We start from the raw sequence: 16,960 nt of genomic DNA on the forward strand, positions 1-16,960 counted from the left end.
ACAGTGCGAGACTCTGTCTAAAAAAAAAAAAAAGTTGAGGATGAGGAATTGTAATATCATTTGCCTCCTTTCCCCATAAGTAAAAAAGGACAATATTTGTGAAATTATAATGTGTTCATCAAAGCACTTTGATAGGTAACTGGGAAAGCTATTAGCTTTGAGTAGAGCCCAGAGCAGGGGAAAGTCATGCAATTACCTGCATGATTGATTGTTGCATGGCTGCAGTGCAAAAATTTTTTCTCCAGCCACTACGGCAGCACATCCAATGGCATTTAATGTGTCAGAGACATAGCAGGATGCTGTGTGGAGCCTGTAGCAAGAGCCTAGGTATATGGAGCAAATCTATCCCTTCTTTGGCAAATAACATTCTTCTTTGGAGAAATAGCTTAGCTTGCCACTAAGCTGACTGTGAACACCAGAAAGAACTCAGTGACATCTGAGCCTTCCAGATGTTGAGTTTGCCCAACAGCTCTCGTTGATCAAACAGAAATGGTATGTGGCAACTTTGGGAGTAGAATCTAAAGTTTCAGGCAATTTGTGAGAATACCTCTCTGATAAACAGAGTGGCTGGTCCTGATGCACTGTTGCTCCTCCCTCAACAAGCACCTGTGCCTGCACATCTGTAAGAAATTATTCATGGATGTGGACTGAAAAAGACAAAATGAAGCCAAGTTTTGATACGGCTCTGCACAACACGCTGATAACAGCCATGGGCTGCTGTGCCATTGTAAATCTCCAAAGAACTGGGTCGGGGGAAGACTGTGTCCTCTTATGCCTTCACCATCATTCGTGGACCTGATGTCAGGTCCCAGACTGTTTTGGTTTTTGTCAAGAAATTTTCAGACTGTTTTGGTTTTTGTCAATAAATTTTATTTGTGGCAAAAAAATGTGAGGCAATGAGCAGATGCTCATGGGATTCCCCGATCTTATCCAACAGCTTAGCCTCCAGAAACTGTTAACCTTACAGAATAGAATGACTCTTAAATATTTAGAATGTCACATAAGGCCAGGCGCAGTGGCTTATGCCTGTAATCCCAGCACTTCGGGAGGCTGAGGCCAGCAGATCACCTGAGATCAAGAGTTGGACCCCGGCCTGGCTAAGATGGTGAAACCCTGTCTCTACTAAAAATACAAAATTAGCAGGTCATGGTGGTGTGTGCCTGCAATCCTAGCTACTCGGTAGGCTGAGGCAGGAGAATCACTTCAACCCAGGAAGCAGAGGTTGCAATGAGCTGAGATAGCACCATTGCACTCCAGCCTGGGCAAAAAGAGTGAAACTGTCTCAAAAAAAAAAAAAAAAAAACAGCAAGTCACGTAAAGTCGGATACAGTGAAATGGTGAATAATCCATAGTTATTTTTCTATCATAGCCAGAATACATTGGTCTAGGAACAAAATAGCGAATGTTAAGGATGGGTCCTGACAGTTATATCTAAAGACCCACATGCAACTAGTCTTTATTTCCTTTTCCACTAACTATGGACTTAGCTGAATTAGAGGTTTTAGAACCTAAGGGAGAAACGTTTTAACAAAAGACAAAAGAATAATTTCTTTAATTTGGAGGCTGAGATTGATATTTGGGGATTTGGGAATCCTCATATTTCTGAGCAAACAAGAAACAGGGAGTTAAAGAGTTGGTTGGTTGGGTGATTGTTTCTGATTATGAAGGGAAAAGGGCATGCCACTTAATAATGGAGGCAGAGAGGAGTAGGGATGAAAATCACTCTCTTGGGAAATGACCCTAAATCTTCATGAGCAATGGAAATGGCAGGAAAGATTAAGTCTGTAGAATTTGGAAGGAAGTCGCTGGTACTGTCTCTGTAATTCTCTCTCAGGCCCAGAATTTCTTGCCGTTTATTACACTGTAAAGTGGGAGCATACACAGATGTGGAGTGAGGAAGATAGCAAAGCCCTCTTAAACACATGTTTGGATCATGGACAGACACAGGACTTCATAAGAAGAGTTCACCATGCATGGCGTGGACACACTCCAAGCTGTTCACACTGGCTTGTTTCCAAATGGGCACAAATCCCCTCTGCATACCCAAGTGAATGATCATCTCCAGTGCAGTGGCTGAGCTACGCGATTCTCCCATAACTGTCATGTTGATGGTAAAACAACCTGAAGAAATGGTGAGCACACCATAAAGACTTAGGAATTGGCCTGTTTGTCATGTCATGATTACTTTTATTTATAGTAGACCAGCTATGTAGGTTTTCTGAATGTATCGTATAGTTGTGCCCCATAATATGATAGAGATAACTCATTTGTAGTTCAACACAAGGATCTCCAGACTGCATTTTCCCTCCAGCAAGTCGATTTGTTTTGGCTAGTCTCAGGAAACTATGGTGAGCAGAACAGCAGCTCACACTGACATTTGCTAGGACTGAAGCAGTCTGAAAAATTACCTTTCAAACTCTTTCTGGAGGACTGGCAAGGTGCTGGGGCACAACCTGAAGTGCTGGGGAGGGAAATGCAAATCAGCTACCTTTTGGGCTCTGCCAATGAGGAGCGTGCAGTGTTACGTTATATTTCAGATGTGCTTTCTAAGCAGGGTTTTTCACATGTGTTTTGAGATATTCTGGTGCGGCATAGAGACTCTTTTCCTGAGTTGCAACTTTTCTTTCATGTCTGTGCTGAGAGTGGTGAAATATGTACTGATGCAATCAGGGAAACAGTGGTGAAACAGGATATGGGTTTTGGAGAAACCCCAGTTCAAATGCCGCTCTTTGATTTACTGGCCATAAGAAAACTGCAGTTCTCTTGTTTGTAAAGGTGGCAAATACTATTTACATTATGAGATTATTGGGAGGTTTAATGGAGAGCTTGTATTAAAATACCTAGTGTAAGTAGACAACCAATAATTCTTCGGTTCTCATTTCAGGACTTTTATTTCTTTCACTGCACCATAATACATTGTCTTGGGCTGAAGAATTTTAACTATTAGGAAGTGCTTCTATAAAGAAAGTGGAAGAGAAAAAGGTATCTACTTAAATTTTAATAATGCATTTGGTTATTCTTCCTGTTCCAGAGAAAAAGCCTGGTTGGTTATCATTTCCTTCCAACTATCCTTCACACTTCACTGCACCCATGAGTAAAATTTGTGTAATGAATGCACTGGGTCTGAGCAATATTGATGCCACTGTGTACAAGAAATAATCAAGAAGTTAACAAAGCAACGATGGCGTCTTTGGTAAGTACAGTGCTTAACTTCAGAAATAAAAGTTGAAATACCATGACATCAAACGTTCCCAGCAAAAGCACTCAGAAAAATGAGAGCATAAAGTTTCAAGGAATGGAAGAAGACTGTTTTCCCTCTTATGAGACACAGTCTGTTAAGAAAGGGAGATTGTGAGTGCCTTCGTTTCAACTTCTTGGCCCCTCCCTTGGGGCTTGGGATCTCCCAGGTCAAATGGTCAGCCTGCAGGTAGGCCAGCTCTGTTCTGCGACCCTGGCTTCAATTCAAGGAGCAAAGAAGTTGTCACTTCTTTTTGTTTCAATCTCAGTCCCAAGCTTTGTTCTCCACACTACTTTGCCATCAAAACAGCTGTTATCCTATTTCCAATTTGACTCCGTTGTTTGTATTTATACTTCAGCAGTCAGAGATCTAAAGGGGAGAAGAGAATGAGGTAGGTAAATGGTAGGATGTGGGATCCAAAGATAGCCTATCTTCAACATCCTGCAATATTAAAACTGGAAGAAGTGAAGCCTCCTTATGTGATGAGAAAAATGCAGATCAGCTGGGCGCAGCAAAGCACGCTCGGTCACACAGCATGCCAGGGCCAGAGACACAAGTAGACGTCCGCACGACAGCACAGGTGAATGATCTTTTCCCAAGGCCATCCTACTGTGACTTTGCACCATCTGCCATTGCTCTGCTCTTTTCTCTAGGTTAAAATTTTCCAGAATTTCTAAGCCCTCTTTGTGTTGTTTTCCCATGTTTAGCATCGTGGTTACTGTCCTTTGTTTGTGCTCTCATTTGCTAACGCTCATTAATTTTGTGCCCTCACAGAGAGGGCATTGCCACAGACACACTTCAGCCTAATGAGAGGAGTCCAGGATGATGAACTCTTCAATCTGGATGATGTACTTCTATGGGCAACATGTAAGAACAGATCAGCTTTTGTGGTTGTTGATTAACATCGAGCTTAATGCCGAACACATTTAACTTGTCTATGTCATGCCTTCAAAGTCCTCAGAGACATACACCATCAACCTGAACATTGATTCTTAATGTGATGAATTCTTTCCATGATATAATAATAATAATAATAGAACAGTAGTAAAGACTGATACTTATTCTTTGCTTTGTGCTAGACATTTTACACATCATGCTTTATATGTATTAACTCATTTTAATCTTCACAAAAGTGTTTTGAGTTACCTACTATTATTTTCTCTAATTTACAGATGAGGAAATTGAAGGCAAGTAAGGTAAATCATGTGTTCAAGGTCACACAACCAGTAGGGAGTAATGTCAAGCTTAACCAAGGGAATTAGGCCAGGCACGGTGGCTCACGCCTGTAATCCCAGCACTTTGGGAGGCTGAGGTGGGAAGATCACCTGAGGTCAGGAGTTTGAGACCAGCCTGACCAACATGGAGAAACCCCACCTCTACTAAAAATACAAAATTAGCTGGGCGTGGTGGCACATGCCTGTAATCCGAACTACTTCAGAGGCTGAGGCAGGAGAATTGCTTGAACCTGGGAGATGGAGGTTGCGGTGAACCGAGATCGTGTCATTGCACTCCAGCCTGGGCAGCAAGAGCGAAACTCTGTCTCAATAAAACAAAAAACAAACAAACAAACATACAAACAAAAAACAAGGGAATTTGTCCACAGAACTCAAAATCACCCACAACCTTTGGATGCAACTTCTTAAAGACTCAAGGTAGTACTCTATTTTTCTGCTCTTCAGGGTTCTGAGCATTGGAGAATATACCTAAATTGTATTAGTCATGGTGACAGAACCACTAAGAAGAACCCTGCAGTCCTTCAAATATAGGCTTGGGCTATGGTTTGGATGTTTTCTCCCTCTGAACTTCATTTTGAAATTTGACCCTAATGTGGGGGTGTGGCCTAATGGGAGGTATTGGGTCATGTATGTGGATCCCCCATGAATAGATGAATGCCCTCCCTTGGGGGCAAGTGAGTTCCTACATTTTTAGTTCCATAGAGAGATGATTGTTAAAAAGAGCCTGGCATCTCCCCATCTTGCTTGCTTTCTGGTGGTGTGATCTCTACACACAGGATCTGCCATGAGTGGAAGCAGCCTGAGGCCCTCACCAGACACTGATGTCCAGTCTCAAACTTTTCATCTATCAGAATCCTGGCAAATAAACCTTTTCTCTTTAGAAACTACCTAGGCCCAGGTATTCCTTTATAACAGTACAAAACAGACTAGGATAGCTTATAATAATTGGTAAGAGAGAACCCAGGTTAATGAATTGAAGTCCATTTTCTGAGTTGGGTAGATGGAAAAAAATTCAAACTCTCTAGTACATTTGAAGATAGGAAGAAAGGAGGAAAACAGAGTTGAAAGGTTGTCAAAGCAGGGCATTCCTCATTTCCTTACCCTACAGAGAGACTAAGTGAGGGATCCCCACCCACCTGAAGTCAGACAACGGAAACAGAAAGAGTATACCTGTAGCAGAGTGCTCTGTGCTTCAGCACCGACTTAGAATGCAGAGACAGCACCTATTTTTAAAGTATGGACCAATAACTGTCAAGACCTAGCCAATGACATTCACTCTTTCTTTCCTGGGGAAGAGCAAGTGAGAAAATGGAGAGGAGGTGGAAAGGGCTGGAGGTGTAGAGTCCTCCCTTCTGTGGGTCTAATGCTCCATTCTGAGTGGAGAACCCTCAGCAGGCCCCAGCTCGTTAGGGCCTTCAGCATAGATCAAGGAGTCACTAAAGGCATTACTCTTCTGTTTGTAAAATTCAAGCCTGTACCCCCTCCTTCTGAGCCTGGACTGTTTTCTACACTCCTAGGACTCTGTTTTGACTGCCTGATGTCAGTAGCAAGGTAGAGCCCAGGAGCTTCTTAGCCACCCAGAGTGGGTAGGGGCTCTCATTTTAGCACCCTCTCAACAGGAAGCCCCTCCAGCAGTCTGGAATCAAGAAAGCGAATTTCCTTATTGGTCTTCATAAACATTTTTCAATATCTTCTTGTTCTGTAATATGGTCTCCACGGAACTATCTAAAGAGTGCCTGTTTCTACTGTCATAAGAAATTATAATTTATAATCATTAGGGATCTCCTCCAAATTAGGTATTCCTGTGATTATTACTGGAATTGGTAATCCTTACAATAATATAGAGAAAGTAGCCAGTGGTTAAAAAGCATGTTTCCCATTTATAATTGGAATAGCTTATTTGTCTTCTAATTCCTACTGCAGCTGTCAGTTCCTGGACTCCAGGAGTTCTCTGGTTCATGGGGTTAAAAAACAATTTTTAAGAGTCTTTATTGTCTTTCCTTTTTCCCTTTTTTATTTTGACAGGGCATAAAATGAATTTGCTAATTAGTTTTTCCTTCCTGACTCTCATTGTCTTATTACTTTAATTCCTCTCTGGTGAGACCAAGTAAACTTGACACAAGCTTACACCACTTCTTAAGACCAGTATTAAAAAACCTTTAAGACAATATGCAGTTCAAGTGGAGATTAGCCAGCTGTGACGCTTGACCAGGTGGGTGGCCTCCTTCGCCTCATCCACACAAGGACAAGATGAGGATATACTATCTCTAGATTTTCTCAACCTACAGCTTCTAAGAACAGAATTTCCCAAACCTGCCTGGAATACTTGTTTACAAAACAACCTAGGTATTCCAAATTTGAATCAGGGAAGAGATCTGGTTTCTATGCATTGCATTTAACGAGCACCACCAGCCTGTTCTTATCATCAGGGAAGTTTTGGAAACCCTAGTCTAGGAGGATAATTCTAGGCTCATATTCAGAAATCTGAAAACAGGTCATGTGCTCCCAGGTGTGACCAGGAGTTAACATGACTTTAAATGTATAATTTAGGTGAATTTGTTTTTTGAGGGAGTGTTGTCCTTCTCAGCAGACACTTTGGGAAGTGCAGTGTTGGTATCGCGTAGCTTTCAATCCAACATGTTCTCCAGCTATTGAATTATATAACATCTGGAGGTGGAGCCCAAGAATCCACATTGTAACATGTGTCCTAGGTGGTTTTTCTCGACACTAGAGCTCTAGAATGACTGTTCCAGAGGAAAGTGATAATCATTACAAACTTATGGATAAATCAATTCTATGCCAAATCTACTGTAATAAGATTTTGCAAACCGTACACAACTTTTCTTTCTGTCTAGAAGCATAAGATTTTAGAAATTTATAGCTGGAACACAATCTTCTGATTATTTAGTCCAGTGGTCCCCAACATTTTTGGCACCAGAGGCCAATTTTGTGGAAGACAATTTTTCCATAGATAGGGCAGCGGGGTAGAGGGGATGGTTTTGGGATGAAACTCTTCCACCTCAGATCGTCAGGTATTAGTTAGATTCTCATAGGGAGCATGCAGCCTAGATCCCTCATATGAGCAGTTCACCTCCTGTTGTGTGGCTTGGTTGCCAACAGGCCATGAACTGGTCTGTGGCCTAGGGGTTGGGGACTCCTGATTTAGTCCATGTCAAATGATACAGAAATTCATTTAAGGGGAAAAACATCTCACAGTACCTCTTTCCCCATAGTAAGAGGATCTGCCATCTCAAGAAAGTCTGAGCTAGTGCCTAAACCATCAGATCATCTGAAGTAACTTATATCAGACGTGGGTTCTGGGAAATATACCATATACCAACTGACCCATAGTGTTCAAAGGTATGGCTTGGCAATCTGACTTTAGCACAGAAGAATGAGATAATCAGTCAAATTCAAGAACCACTGACCTGTTCTCCTCTTGTTCAATAGATGAGTAAACTCAGTAACAAAGTCAAAGTGATTCATTAAGTCAAATTTGTGGTAGGCCTTTGATTTGTCTGCAACGCCGAACTCTGCTCTATGTGAATCACATAGAACTCTTCTGATGTCTCAGAAAGTCTGAAGGGGCAGTGCCATCCCTCTGAGTAGTAGAAGAAACATGGGGCTTAGAGAAGTTTTCTCAGCAATGATTGACATTCTTCACTAACACTGACTTTCAATGCCTCCTCTCCTCACCTGTTAATTAATCAAGAATGGCTCTAATCAATGGATTCTAATCTGTAATCCACACACAAAGAGAAGGGTTGGGTGGGGGGAAATTGTCATGACACTGCTGGTAGAAGGGAAGAGCTAAGCTGACGTGACTGGCTCATTGTGGGTCATGGATAATGAAGTCCTTGCAACAAGTCAACATGATATGCAGAGTCGTGAGCATCTTATAAACCACTGAATCCTGGCTTCATTATTATTTTCTTTTCCTAAAATTGTAGAAAAAGTAATGAGGCTCCAAAATAATCTCCAACCATGCTCATGCCCTGGTAGCCATTGCCTCGTCTAGTCCTTCCCACGTGGAAGAGGGATGACTGTGTAACCAGTAAGACATTGTGTGATTTCCAAGGTCAGGCCACAAAAGGCATAATGGCTGCTGCTTGGTTACCTCTTAGTTCATTAGTATGGCGGAATCCAGCTGCAAAGTTGTGATGACCCTTAAGAAGTACTATAGAGAGGTCTACACAGCAAGAAACCAAAGCCTCCTGCCCATAACTAGAGCTATCCTGCCAGGCACATGAATGAGCCTCTTAGAAGTGGACTCTCCCGCCTCGGTCCAGCCTTCAGACAACTGCAGCCTCTGCCTCATGACGGCGTTCATGCTACAACTTTCCTATAAACTGCTCCTGGATTTTTAACCTCCAGAAACTGCAAGAAAATACATGTTTACTGCTTTAAATCTAAGTTTTGGGGTAATTTGTTATGCAGCAATAGATAATTAATGCAAATCTGTTGAATGATTGTCCTACAAGATGGTAGTCTTATGTGCTAGAGGGTGACATGACTCTTTAAAGTCAGAAGAGGAAAGGGAAGCAACACAGGTCAGGTTTACAGGCTGAAAAGTCAGGGCCAGGGTGGCATGATTTCTGCCAGGGCATTGTGTCTAGCCCCTTGGATAACTGTAAATAGAGCAGGGGATACCAACTGGAAGGAAAGAAATTGAGCCAGAGGAAGAGGTAGAGGCCCTCACCCTGAGGGGAGCAAGTTTAATTTTCTTTCTTTCTCTGGTCTAGGCCACAAAACTATCCCTTTCATGAATCACAGAGGACCTTTTATTCCTATTGGGTGGTGAGCAGAACAACCGTGCCTTCTGGATAGAATGGAAAAGCCTGTGCTGTTTTTTGTTTTTTGTTTTGTTTTGTTTTAATCCTAAGGGGCAGAGAGCAGATGCATCAGGAAGAAGCACCTTTGCTGAAGAGCAGAGCTCAGAGGGTTGCTGCTCAGAGCAAAAATAAAATTTGAGGGGCCCCCAACCATCTGAATGGACTCCCTCCTCATCCAAGACACCCTAAAATTTAACCTGAAAGACTGGTTCAGGCCATGATGGGAAGTGGGGATTGGACATGCCTCACTATTCCCCTACAGCCTTAGCATCAACACAGACCTTAAGTCTGATAAGAAACATTTACTATCTATTCTCCCTAAAGCCCCTACTTGGAGGCTTCATCTGCATAATAAAACCCAGGTCTCCACAACCCCTTATCATAACCCAAACATTCTTTCCTATAGATAATAACTCTTTCAACCAATTGCCAATCAGAATATGTTTAAATCTACCTGGGACCTGGAAGCCCCCCTCCATCTCCCACCCCCACCTCTGCTTCAAGTTGTCCCACCCTTCCAGATCGAACCAATGTAAGTCTTACATGTATTGATCGAAATCTCATGTCTCGCTAAAATGTATAAAAGCAAGCTGTACCCCAGTCACCTTGGGTACATGTCATCAGGACTTCCTGAGGCCGTCATAGGCATGTTCTTAACTTTGGCAAAATAAATTTCCTAAATTGGTTGAGACCTTATAGTTTACACGGTCAACAGGGACGTCCACACTCTTTGCTGCTGCTTCTTAGTCACTTTTTGGGAAAGATGCTGAATTCATTTTCTATTATCACTGTAGCAAGTTATCACCTACTGAATGGCTTGAAACCATACAAATTCATCATCTTACAGTTCTGGAGTGCAAAAGTCCTGTGGTAGGAGTTAATTAAGAAATTATTGGCTGGGTGTGGTGGCTCACGCCTGTAATCCCAGCACTTTGGGAGGCCAAGGTGGGCAGATCACGAGGTCAGGAGATCGAGACCATCCTGGCTAACACGGTGAAACCTCGTCTCTACTAAAAATACAAAAAAATTAGCCGGGTGTGGTGGTGGGCGCCTGTAGTCCCAGCTACTTGGGAGGCTGAGGCAGGAGAATGGTGTGAACCCAGGAGGCGGAGCTTGCAGTGAGCCGAGATTGCGCCACTGCACTCCAGCCTGGGCCACAGAACGAGACTCCGTCTCAAAAAAAAAAAAAAAAGAAAAAAAGAAAACAATTATTTTAGGCAGATAGAGAGGAAACGGGGTCCTTGGAAAGTTTTTGTCTCTTTTAAAGCAGCTCCAGAAACGCTGCTTCTTGTCTAGCAGAAAAGCCCTGGCTCTTAGACCCTGGCTGGCAACCTTTGATATTCAAATGCAAGCCATTAGAAACTGGGTCAACCCAGGCTGGCCACCTTTAATATGCAAATGTAAGCCATTAGAAACTCTGTCCACCATTGTCATTGTCGTAGTCTTCTTGCACTTGCCCCAACATGTGCCTGGCAACAGGGCCGCCCCCACATATCCCTATATGTATAGAACATCATCGTGCCCTGTATTTGCATATTAAAAGACTAGGGTAGGCCAGTTTTTTTGCAGGCTACATGAATTACATACCTGGGCAAACCAATCCCCTGAGCACTATGCAAATCAGACACCACCTCCTTCAGCCTACTCATATAAGCAGCCACTTTTCCATGGTGTGGCACATGGGGTCTCCTCTTTCCACTTTGGAGCGCCCCCTGTAATGCCCAACCTGGTTTTTACTAACTCTGTTTTTAGACTCTCCCTTTTCCTTTAATCACCTAGCCATGGTTCCACCTGAATTGACTCTCCCTTAGCTAGGAGAGCCCGACAGACTCCATCTTGGCTCTTTCACTGGCAGCCCCTTCCTCAAGGACTTAACTTGTGCAAGCTGACTCCCAGCACATCCAAGAATGCAATTAACTGATAAGATACTGTGGCAAGCTATATCCGCAGTTCCCAGGAATTCGTCTGATTGATAACGCCCAAAGCCCCGGGTCTATCACCTTGTAATAGTCTTAAAGCCCCTGCACCTGGAACTGTTTACTTTCCTGTAACCATTTATCCTTTTAACTTTTTGACTACTTTACTTCTGTAAAATTGTTTTAACTAGACCCCCACCCCCTCCTAAACCAAGGTATAAAAGTTAATCAAGCCCCTTCCTCGGGGCTGAGAGAATTTTGAGCGTTAGCCATGTCTCAGTCACCGGCTAATAAAAGACTCTTAATTCGTCTCAAAGTGTGTGGCGTTTTTCTAACTCGCTTGGGTACAACACCCTTCCCTCTGTCTCTGTACAGGGGAGCTTCTTCCTTCTTTCTTCTCCCTTCTTTCTTGCTTATTAAACTCTCCGCTCCTTAAAACCACTCCACATGTGTCTGTGTTATCTTATCTAATTCAGCATGAGATAAGAGCCCTGGTGTTCCTCCACTCGTCAGAGCCGTATCAGTCCCAAGTGGGTCTCACGGGGTTAAAGTTAAAGCATCTGCAGGGAAGGCTCCTTCTGGGGCTCTAGGGAGAAGCTGTTTCCTTGCCTTTTCCAACTTCTAGATGCGGCGCACATTCCTTCCACACGGCCCCTACTTTCATCTTCCAAGTCAACCACATTGCTTCCTCCTGGCCCTTCTGCAGCATCATGTTTTCCTCTTAACACAACTGGGACAGATTCTTCTCTTGTAAGGACGCAGGTAATTTGATAGGGCCCATTACCGGTGGAGGGGGACCAGGCTTTAGGTGCTTTAAACAAAGAATTAGACAAAACGCACCAACAAAGCAAGGAAAGGATGAAGCAACAAAAGCAGAGATTGATTGAAAATGAAAGCATACTCCACGGGGTGGGAGCAGACCCAAGCAAGTGGTTCAAGGGACCAGTTACAGAATTTTCTGGGATTTAAATACCCTCTGGAGGTTTCCATTGGTTACTTGGTGTATGCTGTATATAATGAAGAGGATGAAGTAAAGTTACAAAGTCATATACTGGGTGTATGTAAATGAAAGGCTTTCCTGTCATTGCTGAAGTGTTTCCATTTGATTTAGGTCTCAGAAGTCCTTAGTTTCCCTGCCTCCAGGCCCTATTCTCCGGCTAATCCAGGATCGTCTTCCTATCTCGAGATGTTTAATTTAATTACAGCTGCAAAGTCCCGTTTGCTTTGAGAGGTGATGTATTCACAGGTCCTGGGGATTCAAACCTGGATATCTTTGGGGGCCATCATTCTGCTGATCACAAGTACCTTTCACTGGAAAACATTTAAATGATAGAGTGTTTTCAGGCTATCTCCTTCAGAATAATTTACTCCCCGAAGTCCAATATACCTGCCATTTCTCAGGTTATTCTGTACTGATCCGTCTGCTGGAGAAGCTGCTACATTGTCTGGGGTATATACCCTGGGGTTTGTCATCGTGTGGCAGAAAAATTTAGGACAGGGACACACACGGGGAGTTTAGGAGTGGAGGGTTAATAGGCAGAAGAGAAGAGAAAGAGAAACAGCTCTTTCTACAGAGAGAGGGGTCTCCCAGCAGAAAGGACCTAAGGGTGGTGGATGCCCCAGATTTTATAGTCAGGTTTGAGGAGGTGGTGTCTGATTTATACAGGGCTCACAGATTGGTTCAATCAGCTATGACGTTTACATTGGGGAAGGCTGGCAGCCCCACCCTAATCTTATTATGCAAATTAACTCTCCCAGTGACCTGCGCCATCTTGTCTGCTCCTTACTGTACATGTAGCTGATAGAGAGAAGGGAAGATGCGGCCGCCATTTTGAACATGATTCGCACAACTGCCAGCATCTATGTCTGCAGCTCGATTTTTCCTTCTGTGGACTTCCGTACCCTCACTATCTGCCTAAGTAATTTCTTCTTAACTCTGGTATCACTGGGGAACACGGCTGGGACTCACCTGCTGACTGAAGGCTTCAGAGGGCACCTCCTCCTCCCATCTATGTCGTCTGCCACTCCAAGAGACTCTCTGGTTCAATTTCTCCTGAGAAGGAACCTTCCACCTGCCATTTAGTGGAGAAAGGGCAACTTGGGATGGAAATTTTCTTTATACAGACTTTTAGGTGGTCCTGCTGTTTTTAAAAGGAGACATCTACCCTCAATTTTGAGCATTTCCAGGAGCCTGTTGTGGGACATCAGCTTGCTTTTCTTTCGCCTCCCACTTTGTTTTTCTTTTTGTGGACACATGTGTTTCCTCCTCCTCCATTCTGTCAACCGAGTTATCTTCTCTCATCCATTTTTCATTATCAACATTTTTATTTTATTATTTATTTCCTCTTTTAAAAAAAGTTTTATCTTCTATTTTTTTCCTCTGTGAATTTGTTGTATTTTTATTTCTGCACAGACATTTCTGGGGCAGGGAAAAACAAATGCATGGCAATCCAACATGTTTAAATGAAAAGTTTTGCCTGGATTTTTGTGAGCACTTTAACTCATGGGCAGAGAAGTAAAAGTCAAAGAGCATGGAACTAAATGCCAGGAGACTGGGGTCTCACCCCAGCACCTCCCTGCCCTGCTTTGTGGTAAGAACCCTCGGTAAGAATGATGTCAGGGTGTCACATCTTTGTCACACCACTCTTCTCTGGCACCACTTAACATCTCTCTCAGCTCATATCTCGTCCCTGAAAAGCCCTTCTCTAGCTTCCCAGGACACGAGCACTAAACTCCAAATCCTTACTGTGACTTTTGAAGCTCTGCATCATCCAGCTTGGGCTATTTTGGGGTTCCTCTTGTGTGACTCACCCATTTTTTATGTTCCAGCATCCTGGGTTTTGTTAGCCCTTCCCACTTTCCCTCTTCTGGGACTCTTCCTGCTTCTGTGCAGCATCGTCTCCCCTGACAGGCCTTCCCGAACCCCAAGTCTAGGCCAGGCCCAACTGTTATCACGCTTTGAGGGGAAATGGGAGTTTGTAAGTTTGTAAGGCTACAAAAGTGAATCGTAAAAACCACATGCAGAGGTATGTCATCAGCTTCTGCTGCACCCACTAGGATCAATGAGGCCAGAGAGAGTGTCTACTCTGTTCACCACATGCATTAGTCAGCCCCTAGCACACGACCTGGCATGCGGCAGATGATAAATGGTATGTTATGTGCATGAACTGCCCATTTCCTCACCTGTAAGTGGGCTGCAATCTGAAGACAGATGTGAATGCTTTGAAGTATGGAACATGTAATAGTGTCAGAAGCAATATTCACATTTGAGGATGCCCAGGCATTCACACGATGAGAAACCTCTTTGCTCCTTTATCAGCTGCTTCTTAAGGTCTTCTGTGACTTTTCAGGAGAGAACAAAAGGGCACAACAAGGAGAATGGAACTTATCACTTCACTTGTTTATCTCTTCAGAAGGCCTTGATGTCAAGGGTCTAGTGTTCTTAGAGTGAGAAACTTAATGCCATTGCCTGTCCGAGAGCCAAGGACAGGAGACCAGCCAATGACCTGGAGCAGCTGCCTCCTTGCTGGTCTCCTGGGCTCAAGGGGAAACATCTTCCTCTTTCTTCCATCATTTTAGGATCCAGCTAGATCAGATCCCTCACCTTCTGCTATCTGGGCCCACCACAGACTGAATTAGTGGGTTCTCCTTGGAAGGCAGCCTCAACTCAGCTGCTGTCATAATTAGGAATCAGGAAAGTCCCCGCAGACTAGATCATGTTCTGATTCTCTCTCTTTTGGAAATAATTAATAAGGAAGGGATTTGGCCTGAGTTCTGATTCTCCCTATTTGAAACCAGGGGCATGGATGAGCAATGGGCGGTAGAGCTGTGTATGGGGAAAGTCGAGAGGGCTGGCCCATGTCCATTGAAGATCAGTGAAGTATAAGAAGCATAATGAATCAATAAACAGTGTTTTTTCTCACTTTCCTTTATAAACACTTTTCTTAAAAAGGAACAAATGAATTCTATTAGGTAACATTAAATGAAATTAGTGTCTGCTGCATGATGCCATTCATTTACTAATCACTACCATTTTTTATTATTGTTATCAGTGGGACTTTCTCTTAATCTTTTGAAATAATTTTTGACTTAAAGGAGAGCTTCAAAAATAGTAGAGTTTCCATGTATTCTTCATCCTATCTCTCTTCAATCAATATCTTATATGATCATAGAATAGTCATTCAAAACTGAGACATTAACCTTTATGTAATGCTATTCAGTAAAGTACAGAACTTATTTTGGTTTCACCAGTTTTTTTTTCCACTAATGTCCTTTTTCTGTTCCAAGATTCCATGTTACATTTTGTCACCTTGTCTCTTCAGTCTCCTGCAATTTGTGACAGTTCCTCAGTCTTTCCTTGACTTTCATGACCTTGACACGTTTGAAGAATATTGGTGAGGCATTTTATAGAACAACACTTTAGTTGAGTTTGTCTGAGGTTTCTAGTGATCAGATCAAGACTCTGTGTTACTAGAAAGCAGAGATGACATGTCCGTCTCAGGGCATCTTATCAAATGGTACAGTTTTTCAATTTGTGTGTTTTGGTGATGGTGGCCTTGATCATGTGACCAAGAGGCATCTCTACTGTGGATTTTTGGGAAAGATACTTTGAGACTATGAAGATATCTGATATGGTTTAGCTCTGTGTCCCCACCCAAATCTCACCTTGAATTGTAATCCCCATAATTCCTAGTGTCAAGGGTGGGACCAGCTGGAGGTAATTGAATCGTGGAGGCAGTTTCCCCCATGCCGTTCTTGTGATAATGAGAGTCTCATGAGACCTGATGGTTTTACAAGCATCTGGCATTTCCCCTGCTTGCACTAATTCTCTCTCCTCCCACCCTGTGAAGAGGTGCTTTCTGCCATGATTGCAAGTTTCCTGAGGCCTCCCCAGCCATGCAGATCTGTGAGTCATTAAACCTCTTTTCTTTATAAATTACCCAGTCTCAGGTATTTCTTCATAGCAGCGTGAGAACTAATACAATATCCTATCTCTGCTTAAACTTTTGCCCACTAATTTTAACACTTGTATCAGTGAATCTTGACTGCACTGATGTTACTCTGTGGTTCTAATGGTAATTTTGGATTTTTCTCTTTCCTTCTTCATTTTTTCATTGGAATTCTTCTGTAAGGAAGAGTTACCACTTCTTCCTTTGACTTACTTATTTGGTTATTTCTATCAGTATGGACTCATGGATATTTATTGTATTTGAGTTATAATCCATCACCATTGTTATTTATCTCATATAATTATTTCCTCAAGTTGTTCTAACTCTGGCCATTGGGAGGTTGGGTCCCATCTTTCAATATGTGTGCTACTTTGTTCAGCGTTTTCTTATTTTCTAGCTCCATGGAATGGTCCAGGATCATCTTATATTTTCTTTATTCCAGTCTTTGAATCAGTCGCTTCACTAAGGAGCCCTGACTCCATTATTATTATTACCATTATTACTATAGAATGGTATTTAGAAACCAAGTTGTGTGTGATAATTGTGCCCATTGATACCAGGGTCTTCCTGCTACTTCTAGGTGCCCTCAATGCGTAGAGCTAGGAATATATTTACTTATATAACACATGCATATACACATCTGCATTTATTCCTTTAGTTTTCAGCACATACATTAAAATAAAACCATAAATTTATATTGCTCCAACTCCAAATCCAGCACCACAGAGTTCTTCCCAGTCTCTCCCTTTTCTTGAAGAATTTGTAAAGTATTCCTCCAACAATGAGAGAT

The 16,960-nt window shown here is 42.7% G+C and overlaps 1 long non-coding RNA gene across 1 annotated transcript, besides 2 other annotated features; it reads right to left on the minus strand.

Annotated features, from left to right (window-relative positions):
• Positions 1–3,550: 3,550 nt before the first annotated feature.
• Positions 3,551–14,184, minus strand: LOC105375578 (uncharacterized). The gene is made up of 3 exons (XR_928188.3): positions 13,191–14,184; positions 7,902–8,074; positions 3,551–3,607 (listed from the first exon to the last, which is right to left on the minus strand). It is a non-coding gene; the product is annotated as an uncharacterized LOC105375578 (long non-coding RNA).
• Positions 10,299–11,120: an enhancer, noted in NCBI's record as "OCT4-NANOG hESC enhancer chr7:153127793-153128614 (GRCh37/hg19 assembly coordinates)". NCBI's record gives its function as "activates a minimal SCP1, AML or CMV promoter by ChIP-STARR-seq in naive and primed H9 embryonic stem cells {active_cell/tissue: H9 hESC(naive and primed)}" and the evidence as "EXISTENCE:reporter gene assay evidence [ECO:0000049][PMID:30033119]".
• Positions 12,253–13,452: an enhancer, noted in NCBI's record as "BRD4-independent group 4 enhancer chr7:153129747-153130946 (GRCh37/hg19 assembly coordinates)". NCBI's record gives its function as "activates an origin of replication core promoter dependent on BRD2, P300/CBP, MED14 and CDK7 cofactors, and independent of BRD4, by STARR-seq in HCT116 cells {active_cell/tissue: HCT116}" and the evidence as "EXISTENCE:reporter gene assay evidence [ECO:0000049][PMID:35650434]".
• Positions 14,185–16,960: the final 2,776 nt, after the last annotated feature.

This window comes from Homo sapiens, chromosome 7 (genome assembly GCF_000001405.40).
Source record: "Homo sapiens chromosome 7, GRCh38.p14 Primary Assembly".
Lineage (NCBI taxonomy): Eukaryota > Metazoa > Chordata > Mammalia > Primates > Hominidae > Homo > Homo sapiens.